The sequence below is a fragment of the Homo sapiens genome, chromosome 8 (genome assembly GCF_000001405.40).
Source record: "Homo sapiens chromosome 8, GRCh38.p14 Primary Assembly".
Classification (NCBI taxonomy): domain Eukaryota; kingdom Metazoa; phylum Chordata; class Mammalia; order Primates; family Hominidae; genus Homo; species Homo sapiens.
The window spans coordinates 94,114,719-94,131,259 of record NC_000008.11 but is presented as its reverse complement, the minus strand read 5'-3'; the positions used below and the strand labels follow the sequence as shown (position 1 = coordinate 94,131,259).

Here is a 16,541-nt window from a genome sequence, read left to right as displayed (position 1 = left end):
ATAGAGCATAAGTGCTACAAATGATAATTGACTATATTTAGTATAAATTTCTACAGAGAAATCATGAATTAAGAACTTAAAGGATGCTTTAGCCCTTTCTTACCTTATGGGAAGATACATGTGGAATGATGTGGATGATACTTTGGGCAGTTTAACTCATATCTAGCCATGTTCCAGTCAACCTTAGTATGTGATACAAAATGAGCTTTATTCCTGCTAATCCAGGGTCTGAAGTTGTATTTTCATTTTTTTTTCCTGTCCTGGCAGGTACTCATGCCCGACTGTCTACCAGGCACACAGAGTTTGAGGAGAGGGAGTATGTCGTCTTGATCCGCATCAATGATGGGGGTCGGCCACCCTTGGAAGGCATTGTTTCTTTACCAGGTAGATATTCTGCTATAGGCAACTCAGGCTAGTATCTGTCACCATGGGCCGTTTGAGGAGATTCTTGTCTTTGATATGGGATTCTGCAACTATTCACTTGAGAATTTATCCTACCAAATACTGTCCTGCTTTTCAGTTACATTCTGCAGTTGTGTGGAAGGAAGTTGTTTCCGGCCAGCAGGTCACCAGACTGGGATACCCACTGTGGGCATGGCAGTTGGTATACTGCTGACCACCCTTCTGGTGATTGGTGAGTGTAATTTCTTAATTCAAAGAGTCTTATCCTGGGCCTCAGAAATGTGAGCTCATCTCAGGGCCTGTCTTCCTGGACTGGTCTGGTGGCTGCTCAAATGGCAACTCAGGCAATAGCCCAGAAGGTAGATCACCAGCAAATTACATCAGACTTTCTTGATTGGAGTTACAGCTTTAGTACTACCCTCTGTCTCTATTGCCTTATTAGTTTAGAAATATAAGGGGCTTTATGGTCATCAATTGTCATATATTATGCCTAGTTACAAAGCTTTTGTGATAAAGAGGGAAGAAATGCAGTAGCTGTGCCATGTGTCAGGCACTGTGCTTGATGGGGAAAGAGTGACATACACAGATCCTACACCAGAGTTTATGGTCTCACCTGCCATTGTTGTTACAGGCAGAAGTTAGCCTTCCAGTGGCGATGCTGAGATATCTGAAATGTGTAGTGCAGAACTTCCCTATGCATAGAACCCTGATTCTTTACTACCCAGAATAACCCATTGCATCATGACCACAGCCTCTGCCATAGCCCCTTGCTTGGCTAGACAGTACAGTCCCCTGATCTAGCTGTCTTTTTCTTTTTTGCAAACAACTCAGTGCCTATTCCAAGTGTTTCCTTACCCAAAATGCTTGAGAGCAGAAGTGTTTCAGATTTTGGGTTTTTTCCAGATTTTTGAACATTTGCAAATACACGATGAGATATCTTGGGGATGAGACCCAAGTCTCAACACAAAATTCACGTGATTCATAAACATTTTATACACGTAGTCTGAAGGTATTTCATACAATATTTTAAATAATATTGTGTATGAAACAAAGTTTTGCCTGCAACCTGTCACATGAGGTCAGGTGTAGAATTTTATGCTTGTGACATCAAGTTGGTACCCCAAAAGTTTCAGATTTGAGATTTTCAGATTAAGGATACTCAACCTATATAGTAATTGCCCTCTTTCAACTGTTGTCCCCACCACAAGTTAAACATTAGGAATAGATACTTCATTATTTCATGTGTACCTGAGTGAAGGGGTTTATGGTTTCATATCCTTTTTCTTTTAAAAGAAGGACTAGGATTATTCTAAGTATTATTGATTGTTCTCTCAGCATCTGATCTTTTCTCCCATGATCCAGTGTGTCACACTGGACTCTGATTCATGCATCTAAAGGGGGTCTCACTTCTTTATACCCTTCAGTCTGGACTCCCTATGGCATGGGAGGGCCTTCATGTCATGGCCACTTCCCATCCTAATGTGTGCATGGTGATCATCTTTCCTCCCTGAGAACCACTATCTACTGCACACTTTTCATGGTAATTGAGCTGTCTTTTTGAGGTCCCACTCACTTACATAGGTCCCTTCTGCCTCTGTGCCTTTTCTTATTCTATTTGCCCTCCCACCTTGAAAGGATTTTTGAATTTACAAATCAGATAGCAATTTTCTTAACGTATCAATTTAATTCCATAATCTTACCACAAGTTAAAGACTGCTTGAGTTTGGGGACATCCAGAAATAGAAGTAATAGGATTTTACAGTTTCATGACCTTATTTTCAAGATAGGGTTGGAATTATAAGTTTCTGAGCATCCAGACTTTTCTGCCATGATTCCTCCTATAAACTTACTAGCAGGTTAATTTCCTTAAAACAACTCCTTCTTCATAGTGGACTCTGACAGTACACAATCAGTGCTGAGCTGCACAGTGTAATTTTGATGTATCAGGTGGGAGAAACCAAGAAGGTTAAGTAGTCTACCCAGGGTCCCACAACAACATAGGCAGGATCCAGGAGGAAGGCGCCCAAGGAAATGCGATAGTTGGTATGGACACGATGAAAATCAGCTTCAGGGAGGTGAACAGGTCAGAGAACAGCTTTCTAGTTGTGCTAATTGGATTGTTTTCTCTAGGAAAGGGGAAGAATAGAATCAATATTAAGTATATATAAAGTTCAGGAACTTTGTCAGGTGCTTATACACTCTATAGTGTGGGACATATACACTCCATAGTGTGGAACATTAGGTCCTATATTCTTACAGCGAGATCCAGTGAGAGCCACCAAGTCAGCTATGATTTGGGACTTGATACATACATACAACAGGATAAATGATAAGCTCATTTCTCCAAGAAGGCCAACGACTAGAGTCCCTTATTCACTAGGACAGTGAAATTTTGTTGAATCACATACAAAAATGAAGTTGAGTCATTTTTTTCCTACCACAATACTACTTTATAACTGAATGTGACAGTACATTTTAAAAGGTCCCATTTATTTGACCCTGGGTTTTTTCTTTTAGGTATAATTTTAGCAGTTGTGTTTATCCGCATAAAGAAGGATAAAGGCAAAGATAATGTTGAAAGTGCTCAAGCATCTGAAGTCAAACCTCTGAGAAGCTGAATTTGAAAAGGAATGTTTGAATTTATATAGCAAGTGCTATTTCAGCAACAACCATCTCATCCTATTACTTTTCATCTAACGTGCATTATAATTTTTTAAACAGATATTCCCTCTTGTCCTTTAATATTTGCTAAATATTTCTTTTTTGAGGTGGAGTCTTGCTCTGTCGCCCAGGCTGGAGTACAGTGGTGTGATCCCAGCTCACTGCAACCTCCGCCTCCTGGGTTCACATGATTCTCCTGCCTCAGCTTCCTAAGTAGCTGGGTTTACAGGCACCCACCACCATGCCCAGCTAATTTTTGTATTTTTAATAGAGACGGGGTTTCGCCATTTGGCCAGGCTGGTCTTGAACTCCTGACGTCAAGTGATCTGCCTGCCTTGGTCTCCCAATACAGGCATGAACCACTGCACCCACCTACTTAGATATTTCATGTGCTATAGACATTAGAGAGATTTTTCATTTTTCCATGACATTTTTCCTCTCTGCAAATGGCTTAGCTACTTGTGTTTTTCCCTTTTGGGGCAAGACAGACTCATTAAATATTCTGTACATTTTTTCTTTATCAAGGAGATATATCAGTGTTGTCTCATAGAACTGCCTGGATTCCATTTATGTTTTTTCTGATTCCATCCTGTGTCCCCTTCATCCTTGACTCCTTTGGTATTTCACTGAATTTCAAACATTTGTCAGAGAAGAAAAACGTGAGGACTCAGGAAAAATAAATAAATAAAAGAACAGCCTTTTCCCTTAGTATTAACAGAAATGTTTCTGTGTCATTAACCATCTTTAATCAATGTGACATGTTGCTCTTTGGCTGAAATTCTTCAACTTGGAAATGACACAGACCCACAGAAGGTGTTCAAACACAACCTACTCTGCAAACCTTGGTAAAGGAACCAGTCAGCTGGCCAGATTTCCTCACTACCTGCCATGCATACATGCTGCGCATGTTTTCTTCATTCGTATGTTAGTAAAGTTTTGGTTATTATATATTTAACATGTGGAAGAAAACAAGACATGAAAAGAGTGGTGACAAATCAAGAATAAACACTGGTTGTAGTCAGTTTTGTTTGTTGATCCGCTCTGCCTCTGTTTTTATTTGTGGAGGGGAAGGACAGAATAACAATTGTTATTTTTTGTGTATAAAAATTGCCTCCCCAGCAGCCCTAGTCAGGGGCTTATAGATAAAACTCCCATCTCCCTAGACAGAGCACTTGGGGGAAGGGGTGGCTGTGGGCACAGCTTCAGCAGATTTAAATGTTCCTGCTTGCTGGCTCCGAAGACAACAGCTAATCCTGACAAGGAGGATTCTCCCAGCACAGCACTCGAACTCTGCTAAGGGACAGACTGCCTACTCAAGTAGGTCCCTGACCCCAGTGCCTCCAGCCTGGGAGATGCCTCATGCAGGAGAGCTCCGGCTGGCATCAGGCCAGTGCCCCTCTGGGACAAAGCTTCCAGAGAAAGGAGCTGCAGCAATCTCTGCTGTTCTGCAGTCTCTGCTGGTGGTACCCAGGCAAACAGGGTCTGGAGTGGACCTCCAGCAAAGTCCAGCAGACCTGCAAAAGACAGGCCTCACTGTTAGAAGAAAAACTAAAAAATAGAAAGCAATAACATCAACAAAAGGGACCCCCACATAAAAACCCCATCCAAAGGTCATCAGCCTCAAAGACCAAAGGTAGATAAATCTATGAAGATGAGGAAAAACCAGTGCAAAAATGCTGAAAATTCCAAAAACAAGAATGCCTCTTCTCCAAATGATCACAACTCGTCTTCGGCAAAGGAACAAAACTGGATGGAGAATGAGTTTGACAAATTGACAGAAGGTGGGTAATAACAAACTCCTGTGACCTAAAGGAACATGTTCTAGCCCAATGCAGGGAAGCTAAGAACCTTAATAAAAGGTTACAGAAACTGCCAACTAGAATAACCAGTTTAGAGAAGAACATAAACGACCTGATGCAGCTGAAAAACACAGCATGAAAACTTCGTGAAGCATACGCAAGTATCAATAGCCGAATCAATCAAGTGGAAGAAAGGGTATCAGAGACTGAAGATCAAGTGAGAAGATAAGATTACAGAAAAATGAATGAAAAGGAACAAAGCCTCCAAGATATATGGGAAGATGTGAAAAGACTAAACCTATGATTGATTGGTGTACCTGAAAGTGACAGGGAGAATGGAACCAAGTTAGAAAACACACTTCAGGATATTAGCACAGAGAACTTCCCCAACCTAGCAAGACCTATCCGAAAGATAACATTCCAATTCAGGAAACACAGAGAACACTACTAAGATATTACTCAAGAAAAGCAATCTCAAGACACATAATCATCAGATTTTCCAAGGCTGAAATGAAGGAAAAAATGTTAAGGGCAGCCAGAGAGAAAGGTCAGGTTACCTACAAAGGGAAGCCCATCAGACTAAAAGTGGATCTCTCTGCAGAAACCCTACAAGCTAGAAGAAAGTGGGGCCGATATTCAACGTTCTTAAAGAATTTTCAATCCAGAATTTCATATCCAGCCAAACTAAGCTTCATAAGCAAAGGACAAATAAAATCCTTTACAGACAAGCAAATGCTTAGGGATTTTGTTACCACCAGGCTTGCCTTACAAGAGCTCCTGAAAGAAGCACTAAATATGGGAAGGAAAAACTGACACCAGCCACTGCAAAAACACACCAAAATATAAAGACCAATGACACTATGAAGAACCTGCATCAACTAATGTGCAAAATAACCAGCTAGCATCATGGTGACAGGATCAAATTCACACATAACAATATTAAGCTTAAATGTAAATGGGCTAAATGCTCCATTAAAAGACACAGCCTGGCAAAGTGGATAAAGAGTCAAGACCCATCAGTGTACTGTATTCAGGAGACCCATCTCGCATGCAAAGACACGAATAGGCTCAAAAAAAAAAAGGGATAGAGGAATATTTACCAAGCAAATGGAAAGAAAAAAAAAGCAGGGGTTGCAATCCTAGTCTCTGATAAAACAGACTTTAACAAAGATCAAAAAAGACAAAGAAGGGCATTACCTAATGGTAAAGGGATTAATGCAATGAGAAGAGCTAACTATCCTAAATATATATACACCCAAAACAGGAGCACCGGATTCATAAAACAAGTTCTTAGAGACCTATAAAGAGACAGTGGGAGACTTTAACACCTCACTGTCAATATTAGATCAATGAGACAGAAAATTAACAAGGATATTCAAGACTTGAACTCAGCTCTTGACCAAGAGGACCTAATAGACATCTATAGAACTCTCCACCTCAAATCAATTTTAACTTAACCCCACATCAATATTAGACAGATCAACGAGACAGAAAATTAACAAGGATATTCAAGACTTGAACTCAGCTCTGGAACAAGCAGACATAAGAGACAACTACAGAACTCTCCACCCCAAATCAACAGAATACACATCCTTCTCAGCAACACATAGCACTTATTCTAAAATTGACCACAAAATTGGAAGTAAAACACTCCTCAGCAAATGCAAAAGAATGGAAATCACAACAAACTGTCTCCGAGACCACAGTGCAATCAAATTAGAACTCAGGATTAAGAAACTCACTCAAAACCTCACAACTACATGGAAACTGAACAACTTGCTCCTGAATGACTGACTGCTGGGTAAATAATGAAATGAAGGCAGAAATAAAGATGTTCTTTGAAACCAATGAGAACAAAGACACGACGTACCAGAATCTCTGGGACACATTTAAAGCAGTGTGTAGAGGGAAATTTATAGCACTAAATGCCCGCATGAGAAAGCAGGAAAGATCTAAAATTGATACCCTAATATCACGATTAAAAGAACTACAGAAGTAAGAGCAAACAAATTCAAAAGCTAAGAGAAGACAAGAAATAACTAAGATCAGAGCAGAACTGAAGGAGACAGAGACATGAAAAACCCTTCAAAAAAAAAAATCAATGAATCCAGGAGCTGGTTTTTTGAAAAGATTAACAAAATAGACCGCTAGCAGACTAATAAAGAAGAAAAGAGAGAAGAATCAAATAGACACAATAAAAAATGATAAAGGGGATATCACCGCTGATCCTACAGAAATACAGACTACCATCAGAGAATACTATAAACACCTCTACACAGATAAATGAGAAAATCTAGAAGAAATGGATAAATTCCTGGACACATAACACCCTCCCATGACTAAACCAGGAAGAAGTTGAATCCCTGAATAGACCAATAACAAGTTCTGAAATTGAGGCGGTAATTAATAGCCTACCAACCAAAAAAAGCCCAGGATCAGACTGTTTCACAGCCAAATTCTACCAGAGGTACAAAGAGGAGCTGGTACCATTCCTTCTGAAACTATTCCAAACAACAGAAAAAGATGGAATCCTCCCTAACTCATTTTATGAGGCAAGCATCATCCTGCTACCAAAACCTGGCAGAGACACAACAAAAGTTTCAGGCCAATATCCCTGATGAACTTTGATGTGAAAATCCTCAATAAAATACCGGCAAACCAAATCCAGCAGCACATCAAAAAGCTTATCCATCACAATCAAGTCGGCTTCATCCGTGGAGTGCAAGTCTGGCTCAACATATATAAATCAATAAACATAATCCATCATATAAGCAAAACCAATGACAAAAACCACATGATTATCTCAATAGATGCAGAAAAGGCCTTTGATAAAATTCAACATCCCTTCATGCTAAAAACTCCCAATAAACTAGGGATTGGTGAAACATCTCAAAATAATAAGGGCTATTTATTGATAAACCCATAGCCAATATTATACTGAATGGGCAAAAACTGAAAGCATTCCCTTGAAAACTGGCACAAGACAAGGCTGCCCTCTCTCACCACTCCAATTCAACATAGTATTGGAAGTTCTCTGGCCAGGGCAATCAGGCAAGAGAAAGAAAGAAAGGGTATTCAAATAGGAAGAGAGGAAGTCAAATTGTCTCTGTTTACATATGACATGATTGTGTGTTTAGAAAACCCATCGACTAAGCCCAAAAACTCCTTAAGCTGATAAGCAACTTCAGCAAAGTCTCAGGATACAAAATCAGTTGGCAAAAATCACAAGCATTCCTATACACCAATTATAGACAAGCAGAGAGCCAAAACATGAGTGAAGTCCCATTCACAATTGCTACAAAGAATAAAATACCTAGGAATACAACTTACAAGGGACATGAAGGACCTCTTCAAGGAGAACTACAAACCACTGCTCAAGGAAATAAGAGGACACAAACAAATGGAAAAATATTCCATGCACATGGATAAGAAGAATCAATGTTGTGAAAATGGCCATACTGCCCAAAGTAATTTACAGATTCAACGCTATTCCCATCAAACTACCATTGACTTTCTTCACAGAATTAGAAAAAACTACTTTAAATTTCATATGGAACCAAAAAAGAGCCCGTATAGCCAAGACAATCCTAACCAAAAAGAACAAAGCTGGAGGCCTCATGCTATCTGACTTCAAACTATGCTACAAGGCTACAGTAACCAAAACAGCATGGTACTGGTACTAAAACAGATATATAGACCAATGGAACAGAACAGAGGCCTCAGAAATACCACCACACACCTACAACCATCTGATCTTTGACAAACCTGACAAAAACAAGCCATGGGGAAAGGATTCCCTATTTAATAAATGGTGCTGGGAAAACTAGCCATATGCAGAAAACAGAAACTGGATCCCTTCCTTACACCTTATATAAAAATTAACTCAAGGTGGATTAAAGACTTAAATGTATAACCTTAAACCATAAAATCTCTAGAAGAAAACTTACGCAATACCATTTAGGACATAGGCATGGGCAAAGACTTCATGACTAAAACACCAAAAGCAATTGCAACAAAAGCCAAAATTGACAAATGGGATCTAATTAAACTAAAGAGCTTCTGCATAGAAAAAACAAAAACCAAAAAAACCAACAAAAACAACAACAAAAACTGTCAGAGTAAGCAGGCAATCTACAGAATGGGAGAAAATTTTTGCAAGCTACCCATCTGACAAAGGTCTAATATCCAGAATCTACAAGGAACTTATATTTACAAGAAAAAACCAACTCCATCAAAAAGTGGGCAAAGGATATGAAGAGACACTTCTCAGAAGAAGACATTTATGCAGCCAACAAACATATGAAAAAAAGCTTATATTACTGGTCATTAGAGAAATGCAAATCAAAACCACAATGAGATAACATCTAATGGCAGTTAGAATGGCAATCATTAAAAACTCAGGAAACAACAGATGCTGGAGAGGATGTGGAGAAATAGGAACACTTTTACACTGTTAGTGGGAGTGTAAATTAGTTCAACCATTATGTAAGACAGTGTGGTGATTCCTCAAGGATCTAGAACCAGAAATACCATTTCACCCAGCAATCCCATTACTGGGTATATACCCAAAGGATTATAAATCATTCTACTACAAAGACACATGCACACGTATATTTATTGCAGCACTATTTACAATAGTGAAGACTTGGAAGCAACCCAAATGCCCATCAATGATAGACTGGATAAAGAAAATGTGGCACATATACACCATGGAATACTATGCAGCCATAAAAAAGGATGAGTTCATGTCCTTTGCAGGGACATGGATGAAGCTGGAAGATATCATTCTCAGCAAACTAGCACAGGAACAGGAAACCAAACACTGCATGTTCTCACTCATAAGTGGGAGTTGAACAATGAGAACACATGGACAAGCAGGGGGAACATCACACACCCGGGGCCTGTTGGGGTGGGAGGCAAGGGGAGGAAAGCATTAGGACCAATACCTAATGCATGTGGGGTTTAAAACCTAGATAACGGGTTGATGGGTGCAGCCAACCACGATGGCCCATGTATGCCTATGTAACAAACCTGCACTTTCTGCATGTGTATCCCAGATCTTAAAGTAAAATAAAAAAATTAATTTAAAAATTGCCTCCCACGGAGAATTAGCCCAAGAGAAGGAGTCTGTAAAAAAATAAATTCACCCCTCACATGATCATGGATTGAACTGTTTCAGGTAGGTATATCAGGAATTTTTAAATTTTAAATAAGAAGCTTGGTGATTTGAAAGCATTTCTAGGCATGGAACTGTTGTCTGGCTCCTGATTTGAGCCTTGGGAGCATTCAACATTACGTGACCTCTCAAATTTTAACCAGGAATAACTCAACTGTGGAAGGTTGCTCATAGAATGGCTGTTGAAGCAGGCCATGGGGTTGGGTTTTTCATACATAATCTTTGTGGTCATCTATTATATTTTTTAAAAGCAAAAAGACAAAATACCCAAACTGTTTTTAAGACCTCCGTATTGCTTTCTTGTACAAGATCACAGGATCCTTAGGGTGTCACTTCCCCAGCTGGAAACCTCTGTGGCTGGCGGCACCTCTGCTTGGGTTTTGCTTGCACCTTTGGGCTTGTTCCACCCACTCGGCCCAGCAGGCTGCGCTTGGCTTGTGCTATGGGCCCAGATCCCACACCTGCCAAGAACGAGCCAGGCAGAGAGAGCCAAGGGGTGTATGAGTGAGCGATCGTGGGGTCTGGCCACTGTGCACCGCCGGGCACACCGGCACAGACACCAGCTCTATGCAAGGCTGCAGCTGGACCAGATGTACCACAATTCTGCTGTGGACATCAGCGTCTGGACAAGGAATGCGATGGTGCCTGAAAGCTTGGAGATGCCAGGGACTGCAGAGCCCCAAAGAGGGTATTACAGCGTGCCACAGCCCTGGCTCAGCCCCGAAGTCTGGCCTCCCAGAAGGGCCACAGCTCTTCTCGTCGTCACCCACAAAGTGGCCAACAGGGGGAGTGTTTCAGCCCTGTTTGTGTTACAGCTTTTTCAGTCCTGCCATTTGGTGGGTCCCGAGTTCTTGTCCTGCATCCAGGAGGAATGAGGTATGCAGACAACTAGAGGCTGAGCAAGGCAAGAGAGGAGCTTCACTGAGTGACAGAACAGCTCTCAGGAGACCTGAAGTGCATAGCTACCTTCTCCAGCAGGTCTTCCCGGTGAGGGTGTGAGTCTGACTGAGTGTGAGGGTTTTCGTGTACGCAGAATGGAGGAAGTGCATGCTGATTGGTCCATGGGTAGCCATGGGCGGGCCTGGAAAAACCACCATCCGATTGGCTGAACCGTCATCAATGAAGCTCTCACTCCAGGCGGCGGACTTCACCTGGAACTGACAGCCCGCGCCCCAGGCTTCAGGCTGTCCCCTACCTGAAGGTGGGGGTTTCACAGAGGACCTGCCCTACCTTGCCTAGGAACTCCTCTGCCTTTAACATGTCCACTCGCCTAGGCTGTCTGCACTGAGAGGTGCCTGCTGGCCTGTGCCAAGCCGCCCTCAGCACCCTCCCCATTCGGCAGCCTCCCTCTGGCGCTTGTTGGTGCCCCAAGTCCGGAGGGGGCCGAGGCAGCAGGGGGCTGGTATGTCAGCACTCCCCTGAGCTCATGCACACCCGGCTGGGTTGCAACAGTGCCCGGGCTTGGCCACAACTTTGCTCCACCCTGGGGCAGGCATTGGGAGTGGGGAGAGGTCAGGGAGCAGGAGCAGGCACTTTCAAGCCTGTGGAGGCAGAGGGCTTTTTGGGCCTCCAGGAACGTGCAGGGACCACAGCAGCTGTGCCCAGGAGCTAAGGGTTCCCACCCAGCCAGCTCGGTGGGGGGCGGGACTCCCGCCTGTGCAGCCCCGGCTGTGCCTCCCCAACTGCAACTGGCCTCCCTGCAGCGGCCGCTCCAGCAGGGCCGCCAACACCGTCAATATTATACTGTGTTTCAAACGATTTGACCTCTTTCCACCTGGAAATGGGTAAGGTTCTCTCCTGTCTGACCTCAAAAGACAAAACCAAACCAAACCAAACCAAACAAAAGCACAAGAGCACCAAAAGCAAATTCAATTCACAAATTATACTCCAAGCACTGAGGAATAGTAGAACTTTTTAAGCAGCTCTGTAGGTTTTTTACTTGTAAGTTTTTAGGCGATGAGTGATGTGATGTTCAGGTCACTTAAAATTGCATTATTGCTTGCCCTGCTTATTTTCAGGAAATCATATCATTACTAGAAGATACCATTACTCACCCGCTTCAACACCATATTATTCTCTGGACCAACTTGTGTCATGCAATAATAGACTGATCACACAGAACTTTTTCATCAAATCATTGATTCGTATTTATATTGCTTGTGCTATTTCTTTCCTGGGTGGGTCCTTTCCCTCAACCCTCTCATCTTTCCATGACCAGCTCCAACCCATTCTTAAAGACCAGTTTAAATACTGGTCCCTCTGGGAAACCTTCTGACTTCTTACAGGACACCAGGCCACATCTAAACTTCCACATTGTAGTGAGGCCAATGGTTTCCCTGGCCAGGCTCTATTCCCTCTTGTAGTAAGAATAGTTGGATCTCACAATGGGAAATGGCTCCCCAGTTCCCATCCAGTCTATATCATTTGAATAGAGCCAACTCCCCATTTTTCTCCATCCCCTCAGCTCTAGAGTTGGGCACTTTATCTCAGCAAGATTCACTTGGAGAATTTTAGTTGGAACTCTTAGAAGATTAAAGTATTCCAGTTACCATAAGAGGTGAGTCTTCCCCAGAATGATGACTACAGAAAATCAAGAAAGGAGAAAATCTTGAAGCTGTTGAATACTTGGATCCAGCTGTTCTGATGCACGGCCTTGCCCTAGACTTTTCCATCCTATGAGCAAAACATTCTTTTTTTTTTTTTTTTTTAATTTAAAACATGATTTTTTGCCCCTTGCAACCAAAAAGGTGGAGATTGACACTTTGCATATGGCCCTTCTCCTAGTCTACCATTAGTGCCTGTTTGATTTCCCCACATAGGCTGAGACTTCTTAGAATCTCTCTCAATGCCACTGTGTGAGCCCAAGTCCTGGCTCATAGTGCTTCCTCCATGATTTTTTGAAGAAGGAATAAATGAAATAGCTGATTCACTTTGGCCACTTAAATGACAACAGCTAAAGTGCCACCCATTTGACAAAGTCTGAACTAAAGAAAACAACTGTCATCCTTTGTGTTCACCTACAGTATACTCAAAGACCCCTTCATCCCCCACCTCACCACACTCCTTTTCTCTACCTGCAAACCCTGATGCTCCATTCAAATATCCTCAGAGCAGGTCGTAGCTGTGAATGAGGCCTGTGAATGGCAAAGCTCTTGATAATTTCTAGATGATTAAGCAATGATTGTGAGACCGAGAGGTCTCAGGGGTAGGTGGGGATAGAGTTGGAGGGTCTTGTGAGCAGTTATGTAGAAAGTCTTGGGGGCTTCTATGGAGCACTAAATCTAAGAGTGGAGATATCAAGGTATTGATCCATGGTATAGCTAATTCACAAGCAGAAAGCAGAGATTACCTCAAGTATCTCATGCACACAGGGATTGATTCACTTCCAGGATTCTCTACAATGCCATATTCATCATGAGAGCTTGGTAAACATGGAAAAAATACAATAGCTTTCAGTATCAACTTTAAAAACCATTGTAACCATTTCAAGTGTACAGTTGAGTGGCATTAAGTACATTCACAGTGCTATGCAACCATCACCACTATCGGCTCCAGAACTTCATCCTTCCAAATGAAACTCTGTACCCATTAAACAATAACTCCGCCCAGTAACACTATTGTAACTTTGTCTCTATAAATTTGACTATTCTAAGTATCTCATATAAATGGAATCATATTTGTCCACAATGGCAACATTTGAAAACAAGTTTTAAAATAGTAATCAAGAGAGAAAGAGAAAGTAGCATTCAAACCTAGAAAAAGTTGCCTCATGAGACTGTCTCAAGATTAATGCTATTTTTTATTTTTTTATGCATTCATATGTGTCAGACATATTGTATACACATAAATGCACATTTTGTACCTGTGAAGATATATCCACATAATATAGACACAATACACTTGTCCTCCCCAAACACCACACACACACTCAGTGCTCCCAGGTTTCTCCTTACAGAAGTCTGTCTTGTTCTGGCTGAGCCCCAAGGAGCAGTCAGCTGTTGGATGACCAGTTGTCTAGTACAGGGGTTCTTGATGAATGTATGTTAGCATCACCTGGAGGAGCTTTTAAAAAATATGCATTCCAGGGCTCCACCCTCAAATCAACATCTCCAGGCATGGGGCCTTAGCCTTAGTATTTTTTTAAAACTCCCCTGGTAGTTGCACTATGCAACCATGGCTGAGAACCCTTGTTCCAGACAATTCTTGGAAGACCAAGTTAGTACCAGGCTGGTGTGGAATATGATTCTTTTTAGTGTCTAAGGACTGAATTATGTCCCCTGCAAAATTCATATGTTGAAGCCCTAACCCCCAACGTGACTATATTTGGAAATAGGGCTTTAGGAGGTAAGGTTAAATGAGGTCTTCAGGGTGGGGCCCTAATCTGAGAGGACTTGTGTCCTTAGAAGTAAAGACAGGCCAGGTACAGTGGTTCACACCTCTAATCCTAGCATTTTGGGTGGCTAAGGTAGGCAGATTGGTTAGTTCGAGACCAGGCTGGGTGACATGGCAAAACCCCATCTCTACAAAAAAAATTACAAAAGTTAGCTGGGATGGTGGTGCATGCCTGTGGTCTCAGCTACTTGGGAGGCTGAGGTGGGAGGATCACCTGAGCCTGGGAAGTTGAGGCTGCAGTGAGCTGTGATCTCGCCACTGCACTCCAGCCTGGGCAACAGAGTTAGACCCTGCCTCAAAAAAAAAAGTAGATCGACATGAGAGCTTACTCACTCTCTTTCCACACATGCAGAGGAGCAGCCACACAGGTACACAGTGAAGAAACCATCTGCAAGCCAGGAAGAGAGGCCTTCCAGAAAGGCCTTTTCAGATCAAGGCCTGACGGACCTTGATCTAGGACTTCTAGCCTTAGAATTAAGATAATTAAACATCTTGTTTAAGCTGCCCAGTCTATGGTATTTTGTTATGGTGGCCTGAGCTGACTGATACAGAATCTGAATCAGGGTCCTCCTTCAGAACAACATCAGCTTCCCAATGCCCTTAACCTCTTGGGCACTTTTAACCCTAACCGGTCCTGCCCAGGCCTTTCTGATGCCCACTCGGACTGTGACCTGGAACTCAGGGAAGATTCCTCAGCCCACAGAGATCCTTCAACTAAGAGCGGCCTGGGTCACTCTGTCACCATGGCAGAACCTTGCGAACCCCAACCCTGAAGCATGAAGAAGCTGGTTCTTGCCTGCAGGAGAGCAGCCTTCCTTTGCAGACCAGAGCTGAGCAATGAGCAGCAGTGCTTCACTTTCACCATAGATACAGCTCTCAAAAATACACATTAGTGTCAAGTGATTCTTTTAAGTATGTGCTTGGAAAGATGACTTAGATAACATCGACAATGAAAAAACAATATTTTTATAATACAATTAACTCTAATTTTATTGACTTTTTTCTTGTTTTTTTTTGGTCTGCCTTGAATGTCAACCATTTTACTGACTTTCCATGTTTTTATGTTTACTTACCAGCATGATGCAAGCTCCATTCAACATCTCAAAACGATTTCCTGTATCTGCTATGTATGAGTCATTTACAAGCCATCTGGGCCCATAAAACAAGGAGGATGGGCTACTGAGATGGTGGGCTACTGAGATGGTGGGCTACTGACTACTGAGATAGTAGGCAATTCTAAAGGGCAAGGGGCTGCCCTGGAATCCGGGGATAATTATGTTGACGGCAAAAGCAAAGTCATGCTTGCGGCTTCCATGTGTGGCCTCCAAATCATCCTTGGTTTCTTTGGACAGAAATCAAAGCATGTTTTTTCACATGTTCCTCTTCCTGGGCAGGGAGGCAGGAAGGTTGAAGAAAGGAGGAGTGGGCTACAGAAGCAAAAGTTCATCTGACTGAGGGAAAGCACATCCATTTTTTCCATTGCGACATTTGGGCAGATGTGCAAGTCTGGGATTTGAAGGCTACATTAGGAAGAGGAGGAGGGTTTGCAAGTGGGAGGTGGGAATAAAAATAGCACGTGTTTATCCAGCAATTCTAGTTCCTCTTTTTAATTAAACACAGGACTGAAAGGAAATGGAATATATTTTTGGTAGCAGAAGACAAATTGGACCTCTCTCTGGCTCCCGGCCAAGGAAAAATCCCAAAGGCAGAATTTCCCAGGGCTCTGTTCAGTCACAACCAAAGTCAGTCATGGCTTGGGTCATGGAGAACACAAAACTAGGGAAAGGGTCTTGACACGGACAGGTCAGCTGTGGGGCATGGGGGGAAAGGCCCCAGCTGAGGGTTTCCCACTGAGGCCTCTCTCAGTGGTATCTCAGGCAGCCTTCCTGGGGCCTACGAGGAGGGGGGCAAGGATTTATTGATAATATTATCTATTATCAATAATAATAGATAATATGCAGCATTAACAATGTGCCAGGCACTATTCTAATGCTTTACAATGTATTTTGTCGCCGAATCCTTGCAACAACTATGAGACAATTGTTATGTCTATTGTTCACATGAGAAGCTGCCACAGAGAAAGGTTATGTAACTTGCTCAAGGCCGCATGC

The 16,541-nt window shown here is 42.3% G+C and overlaps 1 protein-coding gene across 14 annotated transcripts in view, besides 1 other annotated feature; it reads left to right on the top strand.

Annotated features, from left to right (window-relative positions):
- CDH17 (cadherin 17) overlaps window positions 1-4,098 on the top strand; it is a 90,117-nt gene extending 86,019 nt beyond the window's left edge. For 12 of the 14 annotated variants that reach the window (NR_182224.1, NM_001144663.2, NM_001413954.1 and 9 more), the window contains 3 exons: window positions 268-384; window positions 521-634; window positions 2,920-4,098. Coding sequence is in view for 13 of the 14 variants with exons in the window: in NM_001144663.2 (NP_001138135.1) it covers window positions 268-384; window positions 521-634; window positions 2,920-3,020 (332 nt within the window). In the remaining variant the exon portion in view is untranslated. The remainder of the gene's footprint in view (window positions 1-267; window positions 385-520; window positions 635-2,919) is intronic. The other 2 variants (NM_001413955.1, NM_001413958.1) reach the window with 2 other exon arrangements.
- Window positions 11,031-11,270: an enhancer, noted in NCBI's record as "active region_27626". NCBI's record gives its function as "activates an Ori minimal core promoter by ATAC-STARR-seq in GM12878 lymphoblastoid cells {active_cell/tissue: GM12878}" and the evidence as "EXISTENCE:reporter gene assay evidence [ECO:0000049][PMID:35858748]".